This window comes from Homo sapiens, chromosome 12 (assembly GCF_000001405.40).
Source record: "Homo sapiens chromosome 12, GRCh38.p14 Primary Assembly".
Taxonomy (NCBI): domain Eukaryota; kingdom Metazoa; phylum Chordata; class Mammalia; order Primates; family Hominidae; genus Homo; species Homo sapiens.
In genome coordinates, this window is record NC_000012.12 from 8,623,357 (window position 1) to 8,645,277 (window position 21,921).

Genomic DNA, 21,921 nt, shown 5'->3' on the forward strand with positions numbered 1-21,921 from the left:
ACACAAAATACAGTCTACATTCCTGTATAATGTCTCCTTCTGTTTTGAAAATCTTTTCAGTGTATAGACTGCAAAAAAGATTCTCTCTAACATATATCAATCGGTTTTAGATATTCAGCATTTGAAAATAAAGTTCCTGGAGAGAAACAAATATTCTGTTTGTTTTGATGTTCTACCCCTTTGGGGGCAATTTAAAAAAGTGATTTTATGACGAATTTATGAAGATTACCTTTGAAAGCTGAAATTCATTCATCTGATTAATATTTATTAAAGGCCTATTATGAGAGAGCATAAGGGGAACATCGAAGGTGAATACTGGTGTGCATTATAGTTCTTCAAGCAGTTTATAATGTTGTTAAAAGCTTTAAAAATAGACATAATACTTAAAGGCAGGAGTGGTGGCTCATGCCTATAATCCCAGCACTTTGGGAGACCCCGGCGGGCAGATTACCTGAGGTCAGGAGTTTGAGACCAGCCTGGCCAACATGGTGAAACCTTGTCTCTACTAAAAACACAAAAATTAGCCGGGTGTGGTGGTGCATGCCTGTAATCACAACTACCCGGGAGGATGAGGCAGCAGAATCCTTTGAACCCAGGAGGCAGAAGTTGCAGTGAGCCGAGATTGTGTCATGGCACTCCAGCCTGGGTGACAGAGCGAGATTCTGCCAAAAAAAAAAAAAAAAGACAACATGCTTAAATGACTGATGATATTAAAATAAATAGCTATAAAAGACAAATCTAAAAATTACTGAATCATGACATCTCAAAGTTGAAGGAACTTTAGGTTTCTCTAGCCCTATGCTTTTCAAAATGGGACATGCATATCTGGAGATATGCTTATTTTTTGACGGAGCAGCAATCAATCAAGGATAAGTCGAAGCCACAGGATGGATATGCCGTGCTTTCCTGGAACCTAAAGGTTTCCCAAAAATTAGAGGAAAACATTTTTATTTAAAAAATTATTCTCCCCCTCCCCCTCCCCCTCTCCCTCTCCCTCTCCGTCTCCCTCTCTCTCCACGGTCTCCTTCCACGGTCTCCCTCTGATGCCGAGCCAAAGCTGGACGGTGCTGCTGCCGTCTCGGCTCACTGCAACCTCCCTGCCTGGTTCTCCTGCCTCAGCCTGCCGAGTGCCTGCGATTGCGGGCGCGCGCCGCCAGGCCTGACTGGTTTTCGTTTTTTTTTTTGGTGGAGACGGGGTTTCGCTGTGTTGGCCGGGCTGGTCTCCAGCTCCTAGCCGCGGGTGATCCGCCAGCCTCGGCCTCCCGAGGTGCTGGGATTGCAGACGGAGTCTCGTTCACTCGGTGCTCAATGGTGCCCAGGCTGGAGTGCAGTGGCGTGATCTCGGCTCGCTACAACCTCCACCTCCCAGCCGCCTGCCTTGGCCCCCCAAAGTGCCGAGATTGCAGCCTCTGCCCAGCCGCCACCCCGTCTGGGAGGTGAGGAGCGTCTCTGCCTGGCCCCCCCATCGTCTGGGATATGGGGAGCCTCTCTGCCTGGCTGCCCAGTCTGGAAAGTGAGGAGCGTCTCTGCCCGGCCACCATCCCGTCTGGGAGGCGAGGAGCGCCTCTTCCCCGCCGCCCATCGTCTGAGATGTGGGGAGCGCCTCTGCCCCGCCGCCCTGTCTGGGATGTGAGGAGCACCTCTGCTGGGCCGCAACCCTGTCTGGGAGGTGAGGAGCGCCTCTTCCCCGCCGCCCATCGTCTGAGATGTGGGGAGCGCCTCTGCCCCGCCGCCCTGTCTGGGATGTGAGGAGCGCCTCTGCTGGGCCGCAACCCTGTCTGGGAGGTGAGGAGCGTCTCTGCCCGGCCGCCCCGTCTGAGAAGTGAGGAAACCCTCTGCCTGGCAACCGCCCCGTCTGGGAAGTGAGGAGCGTCTCCGCCCGGCAGCCGCCCCGTCCGGGAGGGAGGTGGGGGGGGGGTCAGCCCTCCGCCCCGCCAGCCGCCCCGTCCGGGAGGTGAGGGGCTCCTCTGCCCGGCCGCCCCTACTGGGAAGTGAGGAGCCCCTCTGCCCGGCCAGCCGCCCCGTCCGGGAGGGAGGTGGGGGGGTCAGCCCCCCGCCCGGCCGGCCGCCCCGTCCGGGAGGTGAGGGGCGCCTCTGCCCGGCCGCCCCTACCGGGAAGTGAGGACCCCTCTGCCCGGCCAGCCGCCCCGTCCGGGAGGGAGGTGGGGGGTCAGCCCCCCGCCCGGCCAGCCGCCCAGTCCGGGAGGGAGGTGGGGGGTCAGCCCCCCGCCCGGCCAGCCGCCCCGTCCGGGAGGGAGGTGGGGGGATCAGCCCCCCGCCTGGCCAGCCGCCCCGTCCGGGAGGTGAGGGGCGCCTCTGCCCGGCTGCCCCTACTGGGAAGTGAGGACCCCTCTGCCCGGCCAGCCGCCCCGTCCGGGAGGGAGGTGGGGGGGGTCAGCCCCCTGCCTGGCCAGCCGCCCCGTCCGGGAGGGAGGTGGGGGGATCAGCCCCCCGCCTGGCCAGCCGCCCCGTCCGGGAGGTGAGGGGCGCCTCTGCCCGGCCGCCCCTACTGGGAAGTGAGGAGCCCCTCTGCCCGGCCAGCCGCCCCGTCCGGGAGGGAGGTGGGGGGGGTCAGCCCCCCGCCTGGCCAGCCGCCCCATCCGGGAGGGAGGTGGGGGGGTCAGCCCCCCGCCCGGCCAGCCGCCCCGTCCGGGAGGGAGGTGGGGGGATCAGCCCCCCGCCTGGCCAGCCGCCCCGTCCGGGAGGTGAGGGGCGCCTCTGCCCGGCCGCCCCTACTGGGAAGTGAGGAGCCCCTCTGCCTGGCCAGCCGCCCCGTCCGGGAGGGTGGTGGGGGGGTCAGCCCCCCGCCCGGCCAGCCGCCCCATCCGGGAGGTGAGGGGCGCTTCTGCCCGGCCGCCCCTACTGGGAAGTGAGGAGCCCCTCTGCCCGGCCACGACCCCGTCTGGGAGGTGTGCCCAGCGGCTCATTGGGGATGGGCCATGATGACAATGGCGGTTTTGTGGAATAGAAAGGCGGGAAGGGTGGGGAAAAAATTGAGAAATCGGATGGTTGCCGGGTCTGTGTGGATAGAAGTAGACATGGGAGAGTTTTCATTTTGTTCTGTACTAAGAAAAATTCTTCTGCCTTGGGATCCTGTTGATCTGTGACCTTATCCCCAACCCTGTGCTCTCTGAAACATGTGCTGTGTCCACTCAGGGTTAAATGGATTAAGGGCGGTGCAAGATGTGCTTTGTTAAACAGATGCTTGAAGGCAGCATGCTCGTTAAGAGTCATCACCACTCCCTAATCTTAAGTACCCAGGGACACAAACACTGCGGAAGGCCGCAGGGTCCTCTGCCTAGGAAAACCAGAGACCTTTGTTCACTTGTTTATCTGCTGACCTTCCCTCCACTGTTGTCCTATGACCCTGCCAAATCCCCCTCTGCGAGAAACACCCAAGAATGATCAATAAAAAAAAAAAAAAAAAAAAAAAAAAAAAAAAAAAGACCATTTAGTAAAACTTTTCTTCCCCCCAAAAAAAAAAAATAAAATAAAAAAAATAAAAAATTATTTAGAGAAGAATGTAATATGCACATTAATTTCCTTATACTTATGTCTTTTCCCCTATTTTTTTTTTCTTTTTTTGAGACAGAATCTCACTCTGCCACCCAGGCTGGAGTGCAGTGGTACAATCTTGGCTCACTGCAACCACCATCTCCTGGGCTATCCCACCTCAGCCTTTCAAGTAGCTGGGACCACAGGCACCCGCCACCACACCTGGCTAATTTTTGTATTTTTTGTAAAGATGGGGTTATGCCACGTTGTCCAGGCTGGTCTCGAACTCCTGGACTCAAGACATCCGCCTGACTGGGCCTCCCAAAGTGCTCGGGTTACAAATGTGAGCTACCACACCCGGCCTTTCTTTTCCCCATATTATCTTCTGCTCTCATGAGAAAAGGAAAAGGCCTCAAGACACGGAAGACTTCAACAATTTTTATTTTCCCCTGTCTGCAAAGTAAACCCACATGTAGCAGGCCTACCAGGGTGGTTGCTAATATAGCATCATGAAACTTTTAAAGATAAAACATAGATTCCAAGTAAGCTGAGTGATTTGCAATTATACCCTCAGATGCTCAGCATTTCTTAGTTTACTCTTCTTTATAGACAGTTTAATGGGGAAAAAACTGAGAAACAATGATTCTCTAATGCTCTGTAAAAAGCATGAATTCTTGCTAAAACTTTCCCAATTGTGGTCTCCTACCTTTTTTTTTTTTTTTTTTTTTTTTTTTTAGACAAGTTCTTGCTTTGTTGCTTTGTTGCCCAGGCTGGAGTGCAGTGGCACAATCTCAGCTCACTGCAGCCTCAACCTCCTGGGCTCAAATGATCCTCCCACCTCAGCCTCCCGAGCAGCTAGGACCACAAGCATGTGCCACCACTCTCGGCTAATTTTTAAATTTTTTATAGTGACAGGATTTCACTATGTTGCCCAGGCTAGTCTTGCACTCCTGGGCTCAGGCAATCCTCCCGCCTCAGCCTCCCAAAATGCTGGGATTACAGGCATGAGCCACTGCACCTGGCCTCTCTTACTCTCTTGTACAAACTCAGTATAGTTGAACCTCTATATCTGTGAGTTCCACAGGCTTGGATTGAAAATAATTGAAAAACAAAATAACAATTAAAAATAATATGAATTTTAAAAACAATATGGTATAGCAACTATTTACATAGCATTTACATTGTATTAGGTATTATAAGTAGTCTAGAGATGACTGAAAGTATACAGGAGTATGTGTGTAGGTTATATGTAAATACTATGCCATTTCGTATAAAGGACTTGAGTGTCCTCGGATTTTGTTATCTGAGGAGGGTCCTGGAACCAATCAATCCCTCGTGGTTCCCAAAGGACAGCTGTACCAGGATATGCATCATCCACTTGGTGGCATGAGTTCAGAGGAAGAACAAAATCATGGTAGATAGAAGCTATAATAATCAAAATAATTGAAATAATCAAAAGCTTCATGATAGGCAGTGCTTGATTGAGACTTTGATGAATAGATAGGATTTGCACATTTATTTATCATTTGAATAGTGAAATGCATAAAAAATATTTGACTATTCATTTATCTTCATTGATGATCGGGCAGAGAATTCTGGGAATAGAGTATAGTGTAATGAAACCAGCATGGTCTTTGAAGACAGAGAGACTTGGGCCCAAGATCTGTCCCTTTTTTTTTTTTTCTTTGAGGCAGGGTCTCACCCTGTCACCTAGGCTGGAGTGCACTGGTGCAATCATAGGTCACTGCAGCCTCCAGCTCCTCAAGCAATCCTCCCACCTCAACCTCCTGAGTAGCTGGGACTACTAACATGTGCCACCACACCCAGCTAATTTTTGTATTTTTTGTAGAGACAAGGTTTCGCCATGTTTGCCCAAGCTAGTCTCAAACTCCTGGGTTTAATTAATCTGCCTGCCTTGGCCTCCCAAAGTGCTGGGATTACAGGAGTGAGCCACCACGCCCAGCAGATCTGGCACTGTCACTTAGGAAATGCATGGCATTGGGAAAGAATTCCTTCCTCACAAAGTCATCCTGATGGTTTTCTTAGCTACTGTGTGGGAATATGAAAGCGTGGCATCTGGGATATGTAAAATATGCTTGATAAAATTTCTCATCTCTCCAGGTGACAGGAACAGCATGAGCTTGTTGTCCTCACAACCTTGCTGTTCCTGTCATCTTCTCTCCAGGCGACAGGAACAGCAGGGTTGTGAGGGCTTGCTTCTGATACTTTAGCAACTGTTTGAGCTCAGTCTGGTTTGAGTGAAGGCTCATAGTAAAGCTATGATTACATAAAATTGAGATGTTATTCATATTTTACATAATCTTCTTAAGTAAAACTCTAATAAAATCCAGAGTTAACTAATTTACATGTAACTATAAAGTTCTTTATGTTAAGGAAACATGATTTGTCCAGCATAAGAAAATACTTTATTTCTTAGAAAGCAATATTCCTTGTTTACCTTGCTTCTTCTAAGGGAAGAAAAATTATATCTCTTATAATTACAGAATCATTTTCTGTTTTGGGGGATTTGGAGTTAGTGAGACTAAAAAACAATTTTGTGGGGTTTCATTCAGCTATTAGTTATTTTCCTTACTAACTACTGTCTCCCCTCACCAACTTCTATTGAAAAACCACAGCACAACCTGGCTAGTTCATTTTTAACAAAAATAACATGACTTGGAAATTGTGCTGCTGGTGCACATCTGGACTTCACCACTTAATCCTCACCATGAGAAGCACGAGGTGAGGTTTCATTATGGCCACCGTGTGAAGCTAAAATGGGGACTTCCCCTGGGAGTCTCCAGGGTGTACATTCCTGTGTCTGAGGCCAGCATGCTCCGGCAGTGACTCCCCAGGCCACTATTTTTGGACACCAGCTAGATTGTTCAATATGATACTTTGTTGTTTTTAAAAAGAGCCCAAAAAGGAGTCTGTGTGGGTGAAAGTGTGATTTTTGGAGTGCTTCTACTTCTGCATTCCCCAATTTTTGTTTTTCTCAGTTTACTGCCAGCCATATTATAGAACTTCTCTGGGGTATGAAGAAGTTGAATGACAGGCCTTTATGCATATACAGGAATTACTCATTCAACTTCTGCTGTGCAGCTGCCCAGGACTCTTCAAGGATGAGAGAACAGTAAACAAGAATGCATCAAAAATCTAGGACTGGGCAAAGGGCTAAAACAAAAGAATTATTTTTAATGGGAAAATGAACTAAGGAACCTCCTCTGATCATGAACATATAAGACATAGAGTAGTGGGAAAAGTTAGGTTTTGTAATCTAGCACGTAGAGATTTGAATTCTGTCTCCACCATTTCCTATCCATCCTCCTGCTCCATATTTCTTTGAATGTGTTACCTAATGTCATATGTTTCAGTTCTTCCATGTATAAAATGCGATCAAATAATAGTGATAATAGCTAACATTTATTGTGTACTTACTTTATGGAAGATTCTGTGCTAAGCACATTGCACATAGTATCTCATTTAAATCCAAGAGGTAGGAACTATTATTATTCCTATGTTCAGGCATAAATACTGAGGTGGCTTAGAGGTGAAACAAGTGTTTTGCAGGATAGCTAAAGATATCGTAGGCCAGGCATGGAGGCTCACGACTGTAATCCCAGCACTTTGGGAAGCTGAGGCTGGTGGATCACTTGAGGTCAGGAGTTTGAGATCAGCCTGGGCTACATAGTGAGACCTTGTCTTGAAAAAAATAATAATAATAACATAAACAAGTGTCTCAGCATGTTGCACAGAAGTTACTCTATAAATAATAACTGTTTTTATAAAATATTATCTTACGATAACTGCCATATTTAATAATGGTATATTAGAAGATGAGATATTTCAACACCACACATCTACAACCGTTTGATCTTTGACAAACCTGACAAACACAAGCAATGGGGAAAGGATTCCCTATTTAATAAATGGTGCTGGGAAAACTGGCTAGCCATATGCAGAAAACAGAAAACTGGACCACTTCCTTACATCTTATACAAAAATTAACTCAAGAGGGATTAAATACTTACATGTAAAAAGCAAAATCATAAAAACTCTAGAAGAAAACCTAGGCAATACCATTCAGGACATAGGCATGGGCAAAGACTTCATGACTAAAACACCAAAAGCAATGGCAACAAAAGCCAAAATTGACAAATGGGATCTAATTAAACTAGAGAGCTTCTGCACAGCAAAAGAAACTCATCAGAGTGAACAGGCAACCTACAGAATGGGAAAAAAATTTTGCAATCTAACCATCTGACAAAGATCTAATATCCAGAATCTACAAGGAACTTAAACAAATTTACAAGAAAAAAAACAAACAACCCCAGCAAAAAGTGGGCAAAGGATATGAACAGACACTTCTCAGAAGAAGACATTCTTGTGGCCAACAAACATGAAAAAAAGCTCATCATCACTGGTCATTAGAGAAATCCAAATCAAAACCACAATGAGATACCATCTCATGCCAGTTAGAATGGTGATTATTAAGTCAGGAAACAACAGATGCTGGCGAGGCTGTGGAGAAATAGGAATGCTTTTACACTGTTGGTGGGAGTGTAAATTAGTTGAACCATTGTGGAAGACGGTGTGACAATTCCTCAAGGATCTAGAACCAGAAATACCACTTGACCCAGCAATCCCATTACTGGGTATATACCCAAAGGGTTATAAATCATTCTACTATAAAGACACATGCACATGTATGTTTATTGCAGCACTATTGACAATAGCAAAGACTTGGAACCAACCCAAATGCCCATCAATGATAGACTGGATAAAGAAAATGTGGCACATTTATGCCATGGAATACTATGCAGCCATAAAAAGAATGAGTTCATGTCCTTTGCAGGAACATGGATGAAGCTGGAAACCATCATTCTCACCAAACACAGGAACAGAAAACCAAACACCACATGTTCTCACTCATAAGTGGGAGTTGCACAATGAGAACACATGGACACAGGGAGGGGAACATCACACACCAGGGCCTGTTGGGGGATGGGGGGCAAGGGGACAGAGAGCATTAGGACAAATACCTAATGCATGCAGGGCTTAAAACCTAGATGATGGGTTGACAGGTGCAGCAAACCACCATGGCACATGTATACCTATGCAACAAACCTGCACGTTCTGCACATGTATCCCAGAACTCAAAGTAAAATTAAAAAAAAAAAAAAGAATAACCAAAATTTCGTCTTTCTACTTCAAAGCTTCCCTTAAAGAAACGTAGAAGACGAGATATTTCAAAAATATAAGTTGTCACCATCAACAAGTTATCTGCACCCATAGTTCCAAGTTTTCTGATTAGTTATGAAATATGAGTAGATTTATGGTTCTCACATTTTGGTGTGAGTGAGTGAGTGCATAAAATTGCAGATTCTACAAATTTTGATTTCATGCATCCCAGGGCTCTGCCGTTTTGAAAAACATGCCAATAATTCATTCCAAATCTGGTGGTCAGTTTGGAGCCAAACTTTGATAGATATTGGCCTAGAAGATCTCCAAAGTCTCATCCAGCTCTAAAACGACAATATATATATTTTTAAACTGTCATGGGGTTATGGGGAAAAGGAGGTCGCTTTTCAACAAATTGAAATGCCAGGGAAAATTAGAGGTGCTCCAAATCACATGGAACTCTTCACAGGGTTTTTTTCTTTGTGGGTAGATACATTCCAAAGACCAAATTCCATATTAGTTGTTTGCTCAGAGATGCAATGTAAAGACTGATATGATTCCAAAGACTAGTAGAATAAATCTTGACCCAATTAGCTCTAAAATGGATGAGGGACAGTTCCTAAGGAAATTATAGCATATTAGAAACAACATGTTTTCTGTAGAATTGCCATTCTCATCTATAAAGATATTTCTTTCTAGAGAGTCTCGAAGTCCTGGAACCATGTTGGTAAATTCTTCCTCCTTGGTTCTCTTTTTCTTTTAGGGTCTGCACGGATGATTGCCTTTCTACTAATCAAATCACAACCCCTCTTGATTTCATTAAAATCAGTGTCCTTAATGAGATTTGAGAAGCAAACGAATTGACATCAGCAGCTCAAATTCTTTTTTTTTTTTTTTTTTTAGACGGAGTCTCGCTTTGTCGCTCAGGCTGGGGTGCAGTGGCGCGATCTGGGCTCACTGCAAGCTCCGCCTCCCAGGTTCACGCCATTCTCCTGCCTCCGCCTCCCGAGTAGCTGGGACTACAGGCGCCCACCACCTCGCCCGGCTAATTTTTTCTATTTTTTAGTAGAGACGGGGTTTCACCGTGTTAGCCAGGATCGTCTCGATCTCCTGACCTCGTGATCTGCCCGCCTCGGCCTCCCAAAGTTCTGGGATTACAGGCGTGAGCCACTGCGCCCGGCCAGCAGCTCCAAATTCTTTAGTTCACACTGCAGCCGGTTTCCCCCTCCCCACAACCCCTCACCCTTCTTACCCACCCATCACCGATCCACACACTCCCCGCCCATATCCACACATTGGCTAAAATTACCAATCAATGAGGGCCTTTTCACTTTGTTACCAGAGGAGGAAAGGGAGAGTCAACCATCTCAGTATGGTTAGAAAACAACACTACTAACTCGGTACATGCCAGCACTTTGGGTAATTTATTCAGCCTGCCCCTACCTCCATGCATTCGGGTTACTTTAGACCTCCATCCATAGGTTCCCTAAAGGAGGTATGGCTACAGCAAAAAATAAGTAAAATCAAAATTCTCCTATTGAGATGATTTTCCTGGATGTGCTCTGTAATTAGTTATTTACGCTCCGAGCAAATAATCCTAAAATCTTGATTAAGACAGACTAGAAAAGTCACATTGTGCATGATTTCATTTATAGGGAAGTATTTAATTTATATGAAAATATATCCGGGATAGGTAAATCCCTAGAGGCAGAAAGCAGACTGGTAGTTGCCCAGGGGCTAGAGAGGAGACTAGGGAGTTGCTACTTAAGGAATATGAGGTTTTCTTTTGGGGATAGGAAAAAGTTTTGAAAATAGAGGTGGTTGGGCCGGGCGCGGTGGCTCACGCCTGTAATCCCAGCACTTTGGGAGGCCGAGGCGGGGCAGATCACGAGGTCAGGAGATCGAGACCAACCTAGCTAACACGGTGAAACCCCGTCTCTACTAAAAATACAAAAAAAAATTAGCCGGGCGTGGTGGCGGGCGCCTGTGGTCCCAGCTACTCGGGAGGCTGAGGCAGGAGAATGGCGTGAACCCGGGAGGCGGAGCTTGCAGTGAGCCGAGACCTCGCCATTGCCCTCCAGCCTGCGCGACAGAGCAAGACTCCGTCTCAAAAAAAAAAAAAAAGAAAAGAAAAAGAAAAAGAAAAAGAAAATAGAGGTGGTAGTTACACAAGTCTGTATGTACCAAACGCCACTCAATTGTACACTTTAAAATGCTTAATAGTGTGTTATGTCAATTTCACCTTAATTTTTAAAAATCCTGATTAAGAGGAAAAGTCCTCCGCTCAGGCGGCCCTGCTAAAGTGCTCTTCACTGCTGTCCTCTTCAGCTCAACATGGTGGCCTACCGGGCGATTGGCATCCTCAGCCGCTTCTCTGACTTCAGGATCCTCTGATCCCAAGGTTATATACGCCGCAATTTTACAGAGTCTTCTGCTTTGCTGACCAGAACCCATATTAACTATGGAGTCAAAGGGGATGTGGCAGTTATTCGAATTAAATCTTCCACTTCAAAGGTAAATACACTGAGTAAAGAGCTGCATTCAGAGTTCACGGAAGTTATGAATGAAGTCTGGGCTACTAATCAAATCAGAAATGCTGTCCTTATTTCATCCAAAGCCAGGCCGCTTTATTGCAGGTGCTGATATCAATATGTTAGCCACTTGCAAGACCCCTCAAGAAGTAACACAGGTATCACAAGAAGCACAGAGAACATTTGAGAAACTTGAAAAGGCCGCAAAGCCTGTTATAGCTGCCATCAGTGGATCCTGCCTGGGAGGAGGGCTTGAGCTTGCCATTTCATGCCAATACAGAATAGCAACAAAAGATGGAAAAACAATATTAGGTGCCCCTGAAGTCTTGCTGGGGATCTTACCAGGAGCAGGAGGCACACAAAGGCTGCCCAAAATGGTGGGTGTGCCTGCTGTTTTTGACATGATGCTGACTAGTAGAAACATTCATGCAGATAGCGCAAAGAAAATGGGACTGGTTGACCAATTGGTAGAACCCCTGGGACCGGGAATAAAACCTCCAGAGGAATGGACAATCGAATACCTGGAAGCAGTTGCAATTACTTTTGCCAAAGGACTAGCTGATAAGAAGATCTCTCCAAAGAGAGACAAGGGATTGGTGGAAAAATTGACAGCGTACACCATGACTATTCCATTTGTCAGGCAACAGGTTTACAAAAAAGTGGAAGAAAAAGTGCAAAAGGAGACTAAAGGCCTTTATCCTGCACCTCTGAAAATAATTGACGTGGTAAAGACTGGAATTGAGCGAGGGATTGATGCTGGTTATCTCTCTGAATCTCAGAAATTTGGATAGCTTGCAATGACCAGTGAATCAAAGGCCTTGATGGGTCTCTACCATGGTCAGGTCTTGTGCAAGAAGAATAAATTTGGAGCACCACAGAAGGATGTTAAGCGTCTGGCTATTCTTGGTGAAGGGCTGAAGGGAGCAGGCATCACCCAAGTCTCTGTGGATAAGAGGCTAAAGACTATACTTAAAGATGCCACACTCACTAGGCTAGGCCAAGGACAGCAACAAGTGTTCAAAGGATTGAATGATAAAGTGAATAAGAAAGCTCTAACATCATTTGTAAGGGATTCCATCTTCAGCAACTTGACTGGGTGTGGGGAAAAGAGAGATCAGACGGTTACTGTGTCTATGCGGAAAGAAGAAGACATAAGAGACTCCATTTTGTTCTGTACTAAGAAAAATTCTTCCGCCTTGAGATGCTGTTAATCTGTAACCCTACCCCCAACCCTGTGCTTGCGGAAACATGTGCTGTGTCGACTCAAGGTTTAATGGATTTAGGGCTATGCAGGATGTGCTTTGTTAAACAAATGCTTGAAGGCAGCATGCTCATTAAGAGTCATCACCACTCCCTAATCTCAAGTACACAGGGACACAAACACTGCGGAAGGCCGCAGGGACCTCCGCCTAGGAAAGCCAGGTATTGTCCAAGGTTTCTCCCCATGTGATAGTCTGAAATATGGCCTCGTGGGAAGGGAAAGACCTGACCGTCCCCCAGCCCGACACCCGACACCCGTAAAGGGTCTGTGCTGAGGAGGATTAGAAAAAGAGGAAAGCCTCTTTGCAGTTGAGATAAGAGGAAGGCATCTGTCTTCTGCTCATCCCTGGGCAATGGAATGTCTCGGTGTAAAACCCGATTGTATATTCCATCTACTGAGATAGGAGAAAACCGCCTTAGGGCTGGAGATGAGACATGCTGGCAGCAATACTGCTCTTTAATGCATTGAGATGTTTATGTATGTGCACATCAAAGCACAGCACCTTTTTCTTTACCTTGTTTATGATGCAGAGACATTTGTTCACATGTTTTCCTGCTGACCCTCTCCCCACTATTACCCTATTGTCCTGCCACATTCCCCTCTCCGAGAGGGCAGAGATAATGATCAATAAATGCTGAGGGAACTCAGAGACCGGTGCCGGCGCCGGTCCCCTGGGCCCACTTTTCTTTCTCTATACTTTGTCTCTGTGTCTCTTTCTTTTCTCAGTCTCTCGTCCCACCCGACGAGAAACACCCACAGATGTGGAGGGGCAGGCCACCCCTTCAACTGGGCAGCTTGATTAGCAACGTTTTAAAGGTCGACATGGTGATTGAAGCTGTGTTTGAGGACCTTAGTCTTAAGCACAGAGTGCTAAAGGAAGTAGAAGCGGTGATTCCAGATCACTGTGTCTTTGCCAGTAACACATCTGCTTTCCCAATCAGTGAAATCGCTGCTGTCAGCAAAAGACCTGAGAAGGTGATTGGCATGCACTACTTCTCTCCCATGGACAAGATGCAGCTGCTGGAGATGATCACAACCGAGAAAACTTCCAAAGACACTCAGTGCTTCAGCTGTGGCAGTCAGTCTCAAGCAGGGGAAGGTCATCATTGTGGTTATGGATGGACCTGGCTTCTATACCACCAGGTGTCTTGCACCCATGATGTCTGAAGTCATCCGAATCCTCCAGGAAGGAGTTGACCTGGAGAAGCTGGATTCCCTGACCACAAGCTTTGGCTTTCCTGTGGGTGCCGCCACACTGGTGGATGAAGTTGGCGTGGATGTAGCGAAACATATGGCGGAAGATCTGCGCAAAGCCCTTGGGGAGCGGTTTGGAGGTGGAAACCCAGAACTGCTGACACAGATGGTGTCCAAGGGCTTCCTAGGTCGCAAGTTTGGGAAGGGCTTTTACATCTATCAGGAGGGTGTGAAGAGTAAGAATTTGAATTCTGATGTGGATAGTATCTTAGTGAGTCTAAAGATGCCTCCTAAGTCTGAAGTCTCCCCAGGTGAAGACATCCAGTTCCGCCTGGTGACAAGATTTGTGAATGAGGCAGTCATGTGCCTGCGAGAGGGGATCTTGGCCACACCTGCAGAGGGAGACATCGCAGCTGTCTTTGGGCTTGGCTTCCCGCCTTGTTTTGGAGGGCCTTTCTGCTTTGTGGCTCTGTATGGCCCCCAGAAGATAGTGGCCCGGCTCAAGAAGTATGAGGCTGCCTATGGAAAACAGTTCACTCCATGCTAGCTGCTAGCTGACCATGCTAATAGCCCTAACGAGAAGTTGTACCAGTGAGCAGGTCTCATGCTTCGCTCAGTCAGTGCACTAACCCTAGCTGTGGGCAGTGCTGGTTTTCCAACAGAGTGGCATCTAGACTTATCAGAGTAACGAGAAGGAAGACAAACCCTGGCACTGGGTTTGCTCCCTGATTAAAGTGCCTTCAGCCAAGACCATCTCTCCCTCCTGGTGAAGTCTGACTGTGAATTAGAGTTTGCACTTCCTATTGGAAGGTGGAACCCGCTGTGCTCATTGTATAAGCCCTGAGGCCTAGAGTGGCAGCCAAGAGCCATCTGGAGCCATCTCTGCCTGTTCCTCCCAGGAGGCCAGGGTGGCCAGGGGTGGTGAGGGCAATTCTGCACCCAGCCAAACACATAATAGTAAAAACCGAACTCTGTGTCAGCGTCTCTGCCTCTCTGCCTGGTTGTTCCTTTATCTTCTGTCTTTGTCCTGGTTTAAATGCCTCCTTCGAAAAGCAAGCTGGAAGAAAGCCCTGTGCTTTGGGAGTAAGAACGTTTGTGCAGAATTCTAGGCAGCACCTTAGGGAGGGACTGTGATGAGACAAAGTGGGACCTGGTGGGCTCAAAACCACACACACCTGCCTGTGTAGATGCTTTGCCTGGGCTTCTGCTCACCATGGTGTACCAGGATATTAAAGCTCTTTCCCCAGAAGAAAAAAAAAAACTGATTAAACTCAGAGACTTCTAGGGACTGAATAGCCAGAAAAAAGAAACAAGCAATGACTGGGCTATTCTCTCTTTAGGGATGCTATTAGTTTGTACAATCAGAGGAGAAAGTCCATAAATAAGGGGTGCAGAAATGATAAGTGCTCTGGGACTGAGGAGAAGAAAGAACAGATATGGGAATGGGAGGAAAGAGCCCAGGATATCAGTGGAAAGTTCACTTGGCCAAAACTAGGCAGCAGATGTGTAGAGGAGAACTAAAGGCAGTGAGCAGATGTATGCCTTCCCTGAACAGGAGCATGATAAATTTATAGTATAATTTAAAGCATTACTTTATTTTTTATTATCAAAAATGATAAAAACCTGAAAAGAAAACAAGACAATGAATGTCATTGTAGGAGGCAAAAGGTGTTATTAAAAGCAGAAAGAAACAACTTGAGCAATAAAGTGACTCTAGGCCGGCCGCGGTGGCTCACGCCTGTAATCCCAGCACTGTGGGAGGCTGAGGCGGGAGGATCATGAGGTCAGGATTTCAAGACCAGCCTGACCAACACGGTGAAACCCCGTCTCTACTAAAAATACAAAAATTAGCCGGGCGTGGTGGTGCACGCCTGTAATCCCAGCTACTCAGGAGGCTGAGGCAGGAGAACTGCTTGAACCCGGGAGGCAGAGGTTGCAGTGAGCTGTGATTGTGCCATTGCACTCCAGCCTGGGTGACACAGCATCTCAAAAAAAAAAAAGAAGTGACTCTAATTTAATCTTCAAATGCAGAGGCCATGTCTTAGTTAACTTTGCATCCCAGCACTGCCCTGGGCACTTGGTGTTCAAAAGTTGTTTGTTGACTAAAGGATAATGACTCACTCACATTTACATAGGGCCTATGTGCCGGTGCTACCCTAAACCACTTAATTCATTTAATCTCGCAGTAGCCTTAAGGGTTTTGTATCACTGATCTCTTTTACAGATGAGAAAAGTGAGGCATAGAATGGTTTGAATCATAATGGTGGGGCGGAGGCTAAAGTAACTCCATCTTGGCTGCTAAAACACCACGTTGACTTCTGATTAACCCCCAGTTCCAGTAATACCTCTAAGATCTCTACTTTATCTACTGTTAAGAACACATATTTACCATAAGTCTAGCCCCTAGATTAAAACAACCTTGATGTTATCATAAACAGGCACTTACTATGAATCCTGCCCTTAAGCAAATTATAGGCTATGATTCAGGTAGCATTCTTGCCTTTCCCTGAGGGGTGGCCTTCAATTGTCCTACACAACCCTTCTGAAGCACGGATGCCCTTTCCCTATGGTATGTAAGCCCTGGGTCTGGGTTGGGGTAACAGCAAGGGGATCCACCATCTTGCAGATGCCTGGGACATGGCTTCTGCTTTTAAGTTCTTATTAAATGTTTTTTTTGCTGAGAAACTGGGCATGTCTGCCTCTTTATCTGGCCTTTCAGCTCCCTCAGCCTTTGGGGGTAGGTTTGCATAGGCCTCCTCCCCGTAGAAGAGGTGGAGTCAGGATTTGCACCCATATAGTCTAGCTCCAGAGTATGTGCTCTGACACATAGGCTATCCTTCCTGAAGGAGTCAGTCAAAGAAATCAGGATAAAGAGAAAGACTGATGAGCCAGTAAACACACTGATTCTCTACCCTTCCGAGAAGAGGAAAAATCGGAACCTCTTTGGCCTTTTCCAGGTTCTTGTTTCTGGCCAGATTCATAGCTAACAGCCACTGGCTGAGTCTCCACAGAATTCCTGGGGAGTGTATGTGATGTGTGAAAACAAAAGAGACACCTGTGCTCTGACTCAACTTGTTTGTTTTTGTGTTTGTTTGCTTGTGAGACAAGGCTCTCACACCTTTTGTTGCCCAGGGTGGCCTTGAACTCCTGGGCTCAAGGAGTCTTCCTGCTTCAGCCTGTGGAGTAGCTGGGATTATAGGCAGGAACCACCACACTAAGTTTCTCTGCCTCAGTTCTGAATAAGAGAGCACTTCACATCCAGTGGACATGAAAGCATTCTACACCTTGAGGTAAGCAAGAAAACAAGCAGGGCCATAGCCTCTAGTTCTAGTTTCCAAAATAAATAAAATCTTCAAGTCTCCTCCATAAGTTACTGACTCTGTCATGCAAACAACTGCACTCTGACTTTGCCAATGGCAATCTCTGAAGGTGGGTAATAATCTTTGAGGATATGAGAACCATATACAAAAAAAAAAAAATCGGACAGGTTGTGGTGGCTTATGCCTGTAATCCTAGCACTTTGGGAGGCCAAGGCAGGAGGATCACTTGAGGCCAGGAGTTCGAGATCAGCCTGGCCAAAATAACGAAACCCCAAAATACAAAAACAATGAGCTGGGCGTGGCGGTGCATGCCTGTAATCCCAGCTATTCAGGAGGCTGAAGCGTAAGAATCCCTTGAACCTGGGAGGCGGAGGTTGCACTAAGCCAAGATCACACCACTGCACCCCAGCCTGGGCCACAGAGTAAGACTCTGTCTCAAAAAAATAAAAAATAAAAAATAAAAAATCCCACCACGAACAGATAAACAGTAAGTCTAGTGACTTTAGGAATCTAATTTGTTTCTCTTTCAGTAGGTTGTATTTTTTATTCCAGTTTTTCTAAGGTGTAGCCTCCCAAACAAGCCTTTGGCAAGCAAGTAAACTACTCCTTTGTCTTGGAGTCTTCCTTTTGCAACTGGATTAACTTTTAGAACTTTTAGACCTTTGAGAAGTTTTAGAGTTTTAGAATTCAGGCGTGGGTCTGCCGCACCAAAACTGTGTGAACTTGGTCAGGTCTTATTAAACCTTTTTCTCTGTCTGAAAAATATGAATAATAATACTTCTGCTTCCCACCACACAGGGAATATGATGTTTGTTTAAAAAAAAAGCACAGAACACTTTATTAAAAAGTTGTTGTTGTTGTTGTTGTTTTAGTCTATTTTGTGTTATTGAGTCTGTCACCAACTGAGTAATTTATAAAGAAAAGAAATTTATTTCTCACAGTTCTGGAGGCTGAGAAGTCCAAGAACATGGTGCCATCATCTGATGAGAGTCATCCCATGGTGGAAGGACAGCAAGTGCAAGCAAACTGGTGAGGCAGAGAGAAGAAATCGGGCAAAACTCCCTTTTATTATAAACCCAGTCTCGTGATAACTAACCTACCCCTGCAATAACAGCAGCAGTAATCCATTTATGATCGATTTGCCATCACCTAATCACCTCTTTTCTTTTCTTTTCTTTTTTTTTTTTTTTTGAGATGGAGTCTTGCTCTGTCACCCAGGCTGGAGTACAGTGGTGCGATCTCGGCTCACTGCAAGCTCCGCCTCCCAGGTTCAAGCAATTCTCATGGCTCAGCCTCCTGAGTAGCTGGGATTACAGGCATCCACCACCACACCTAGCTAATTTTTGTATTTTCAGGAGAGACGGGGTTTCACCATATTGGCTGGAGTTGGCTGGTCTTGAACTCCTTACCTCAAGTGATCTTCCTGCCTCAGCCTCCCAAAGTGTCGAGATTACAGATGTGAGCCACTGCTCCCGGCCCTAATCATTTCTTCTTCTTTTTTTTAAGATAGAGTTTCGCTCTTGTTGCCCAGGGTGGAGTGCAATGGCACAATCGTGACTCACTGCAGCCTCCACCTCCTGGGTTCAAGCGATTCTCCTGCCTCAGCCTCCCAAGTAGCTGGAATATAGGCACCCACCCCTACGCCTGGCTAATTTTTTGTATTTTTAGTAGAGACAGGGTTTCGCCATGTTGGCCAGATTGGTCTCGAACTCCTGACCTCAGATTATCCCCCTGCCTCGGCCTCCCAAAGTGCTGGGATTATAGCATGCCCGACCCCTAATCACCTCTTAAAGACCCCACATCAATTAAAACTCAACATGAGTTTGGGAGGGGACAAACATTCAAACCATAACAATGCTGTCCTAGAGTTCCAAAGACCACATTTGGAATAATTCCACTTTTAAAAAAGTTTTACTTTTAAAAAATTGTTTTACAGACAGGATCTCACTCTGTCACCCAGGCTGTTGTACAGTGATACCATCATAGCTCACTGTAACCTCGGCCTCGTGGGCTCAAGCAATCCTCCTGCCTCAGCATACCCAGTAGCTGGGACTACAGGGGCAGCTACCATGCCTGGCTAGTATTTTAATTTTCTGTAGAGACAGTCTTGCTATGTTTCTCAGGCTAGTCTTGAACTCCTGCCTTGGTCTCCCAAAGCGTTGGGATTACAGATGTGAGCTACTGAGTCTGGCCAAAAAAAAAATTTTAATTACATTTAAATTAGGACCAGGAACAGCGGCTCATTCTTGTGATCTCAACACTTTGGGAGGCCGAGGTGGGAGAATCACTTGAGGCTGGGAGTTCAAGACTAGTCTGGGCAACATAGCCAGACCCCCATCTGTATGAGGAAAAAAAAAAGGTACATTTAAACACACTTTAAACAGTAGAGAAACTAGTATCTCTGGTATTGCACATTTTTTGCAAGTTTCCTACTCATTGGCTAGCCAGCAAGATTCATCTGTTTCGTTACAAGGGAAAGAATGGAAAAGCCAACCTACTCAAGAACAGTTTAACAGAAACCAATCAGCTTAAGTAGAAAAAAAAAAATCCTATAGTCTTATTAATTAATTAATAAGTCTTACTTAATAGTTAATAGTTAATAATACTTAATAGTTAATAGCTAATACTTAATAGTTAATAAGTCTTAATTAATAGTCTTACTAAACCTTTGAACACATAATCTTGTTAATTCACAGAACCACCCCTAAGGCAGGTATGTTGCCACCAATTTACAGCTGAGAAGCTACTTGCTTGGCATCATACCACTAGTGAGTGCCAAGTCTGGACTGGCACTGAAACAAAGACCAATTATTTGAAATTAAAATGAACAGGATAAGTGTCACTTTTTTTTTTTTTTTTTTTTTTTTTGAGACGGAGTCTCGCTCTGTCACCCAGGCTGGATGCAGTGGCGCCATCTCGGCTCACTGCAAGCTCCGCCTCCCGGGTTCACGCCGTTCTCCTGCCTCAGCCTCTCCGAGTAGCTGGGACTACAGGCGCCCGCCACCACGCCGGGCTAATTTTTTTTTAATTTTAGTAGAGACGGGGTTTCACCGTGGTCTCGATCTCCTGACCTCGTGATCCACCCGCCTCGGCCTCCCAAAGTGCTGGGATTACAAGCGTGAGCCACCGCGCCCGGCCAAGTGTCACTTTTATTGTACCTAGAACCATGTTGATTTGGGGATCTAGACATCCCATATATCAATGATGTAATAATTTTTTTTAGTTTCTACATGACAAGAGAGAAATTACTGCTACTACGTCCGGCTGATTTTTGTGTTTCTAGTAGAGATGGGGTTTCGCCATGTTGGCCAGGCTGGTTTCAAACTTCTGACCTCAGGTGATCTGCCTGCCTCACCTTCCCAAAGTGCTGGGATTACAGGTGTGAGCCACCGCGCCTGGCCTGCTTATTTGTGTTACTACTACTTCATTCCCCATTCCCCTAAAATCTCATCCATTTTCAAGAATAGATGGATTTATAGAGGTTTATACAAATGGAAGAAATGTTTCTTTGTACAATTCTCATTACCCTTCATTATAACTCCTTGTTTTTGATCATTTGGGACAGAACCACATATTAGGAAATGGTATACAGTGATGCAGTTGATACCTTAACACCCATCAATCTCTTCAATATAATACAGATTATTTTCCATAAAATGAATTTCCTTATACTTGCTCAAAACTTATCTATTCTGGTTTGGTTTGGGGTTTTTGTTTGTTTGTTTGTCTGGTGGAGGAGGGAAGACAAGGTGGATCTCCCACAAATTTATGAGATCATCTTGAATACCTATGGATTGTTACATAAATTTAACCAAACACTCCATAAAGCTACACAGTACAGATGTATAGCCAGGTAAGTACCCAGGAGAAAGGAAAAGGGAGAGGAAAGGGAAAAATACCAGAGGTAGAGAAAAGAACTGCAAGACCCAAGGGTTAGGAATAAACTAGAACCTTACTCTAAGTGATTGGACAAGTTGAAAAATAACACCAAATCATTATCAGCTATTAAAAAAAAATGAGGGTTTGAGGTAAAGTGAAGTTCGATTTGTCAACAGGAAGCTGTGGGCTCTGCACCTCTATTTATATAAACATTTGCTTTTTCCATCTTGGGTTCTGCCCAGAATTTGTCGTCTGACTGCTGCTTCTGGGTCTGCTTGACTGGTTTTTAGAGAAAAAAAGAAAGAAAGAAAGAAAGAAAGAAAACAAAACTGTGGCCACCTGTTCCTCTCCTTACCGCAGTCTTAACAAGTCACTTTCCCTGATGTTTGGTTGGTGAAAATGCTCAAAGATACAAGGGCTTCCGTTTTTATCAGAGTATTGCTTTATTAAGTAAGGCCTCCCTGAGCTGACAAAGCTACAAGGACAGTCCTGCCTCTCCTCCACTGTGCTCCTGATGTCTTTCTGTTTTACCCTAAGTTTCCAGATCCCCCAGGACCCCTTCCCCACTTCTCAAATTCCCTTTGAATTTGGAATTTGACAGTTTCCATCTTTTAGCTTCCTGGCTCCCCAACCCTGGTGTCAGCCTGTTGTCACTCTCTCATCTGGCTATCCCCTGGTCTGGTGCCATCTTTGTTCCCACTTCTTTTAGGATTGTTTTCCTTCTTCATTGTGTTACAGCTGCTTCAGTACAAAAGGAAGAGGGATCTTAGAGGTTGTTTGTGCCTTCTCACCAGGTGTAAAGTGGTTAGTTAAACATCTAACTTTGGCCACAAGTACCCTGAAGCAGAGAAGGGAGGAGCTTGTGTCTAGCAACATATACTGCTGTATATGTCATCAAAGTAAGACTCAGAAATTGGGAAACCAGCTGCGGTTTGCACTCTCTGCCATGAGTCAAAACAATACTGAGTGTGCATAGAACTGTATTTAGTGAGTAGAAGACACACTCAAATTTCCAGAATGTGTTCATTTGAGGAGAAAGTAGAATTTTCTTGAATCGTAA

The 21,921-nt window shown here is 45.8% G+C and overlaps 1 pseudogene, besides 7 other annotated features; it reads left to right on the plus strand.

The window, feature by feature from the left end:
• Positions 3,915-4,906: an enhancer, noted in NCBI's record as "H3K27ac-H3K4me1 hESC enhancer chr12:8779867-8780858 (GRCh37/hg19 assembly coordinates)". NCBI's record gives its function as "activates a minimal SCP1, AML or CMV promoter by ChIP-STARR-seq in naive H9 embryonic stem cells {active_cell/tissue: H9 hESC(naive)}" and the evidence as "EXISTENCE:reporter gene assay evidence [ECO:0000049][PMID:30033119]".
• Positions 6,152-6,371: an enhancer, noted in NCBI's record as "active region_5936". NCBI's record gives its function as "activates an Ori minimal core promoter by ATAC-STARR-seq in GM12878 lymphoblastoid cells {active_cell/tissue: GM12878}" and the evidence as "EXISTENCE:reporter gene assay evidence [ECO:0000049][PMID:35858748]".
• On the plus strand, positions 10,981-14,909 carry HADHAP2 (HADHA pseudogene 2; annotated as a pseudogene).
• Positions 12,377-13,186: an enhancer, noted in NCBI's record as "OCT4-NANOG-H3K27ac-H3K4me1 hESC enhancer chr12:8788329-8789138 (GRCh37/hg19 assembly coordinates)". NCBI's record gives its function as "activates a minimal SCP1, AML or CMV promoter by ChIP-STARR-seq in naive and primed H9 embryonic stem cells {active_cell/tissue: H9 hESC(naive and primed)}" and the evidence as "EXISTENCE:reporter gene assay evidence [ECO:0000049][PMID:30033119]".
• Positions 14,803-15,610: an enhancer, noted in NCBI's record as "H3K27ac hESC enhancer chr12:8790755-8791562 (GRCh37/hg19 assembly coordinates)". NCBI's record gives its function as "activates a minimal SCP1, AML or CMV promoter by ChIP-STARR-seq in primed H9 embryonic stem cells {active_cell/tissue: H9 hESC(primed)}" and the evidence as "EXISTENCE:reporter gene assay evidence [ECO:0000049][PMID:30033119]".
• Positions 15,818-16,734: an enhancer, noted in NCBI's record as "H3K27ac-H3K4me1 hESC enhancer chr12:8791770-8792686 (GRCh37/hg19 assembly coordinates)". NCBI's record gives its function as "activates a minimal SCP1, AML or CMV promoter by ChIP-STARR-seq in naive H9 embryonic stem cells {active_cell/tissue: H9 hESC(naive)}" and the evidence as "EXISTENCE:reporter gene assay evidence [ECO:0000049][PMID:30033119]".
• Positions 21,363-21,885: an enhancer, noted in NCBI's record as "NANOG hESC enhancer chr12:8797315-8797837 (GRCh37/hg19 assembly coordinates)". NCBI's record gives its function as "activates a minimal SCP1, AML or CMV promoter by ChIP-STARR-seq in primed H9 embryonic stem cells {active_cell/tissue: H9 hESC(primed)}" and the evidence as "EXISTENCE:reporter gene assay evidence [ECO:0000049][PMID:30033119]".
• Positions 21,527-21,586: an enhancer, noted in NCBI's record as "active region_5937". NCBI's record gives its function as "activates an Ori minimal core promoter by ATAC-STARR-seq in GM12878 lymphoblastoid cells {active_cell/tissue: GM12878}" and the evidence as "EXISTENCE:reporter gene assay evidence [ECO:0000049][PMID:35858748]".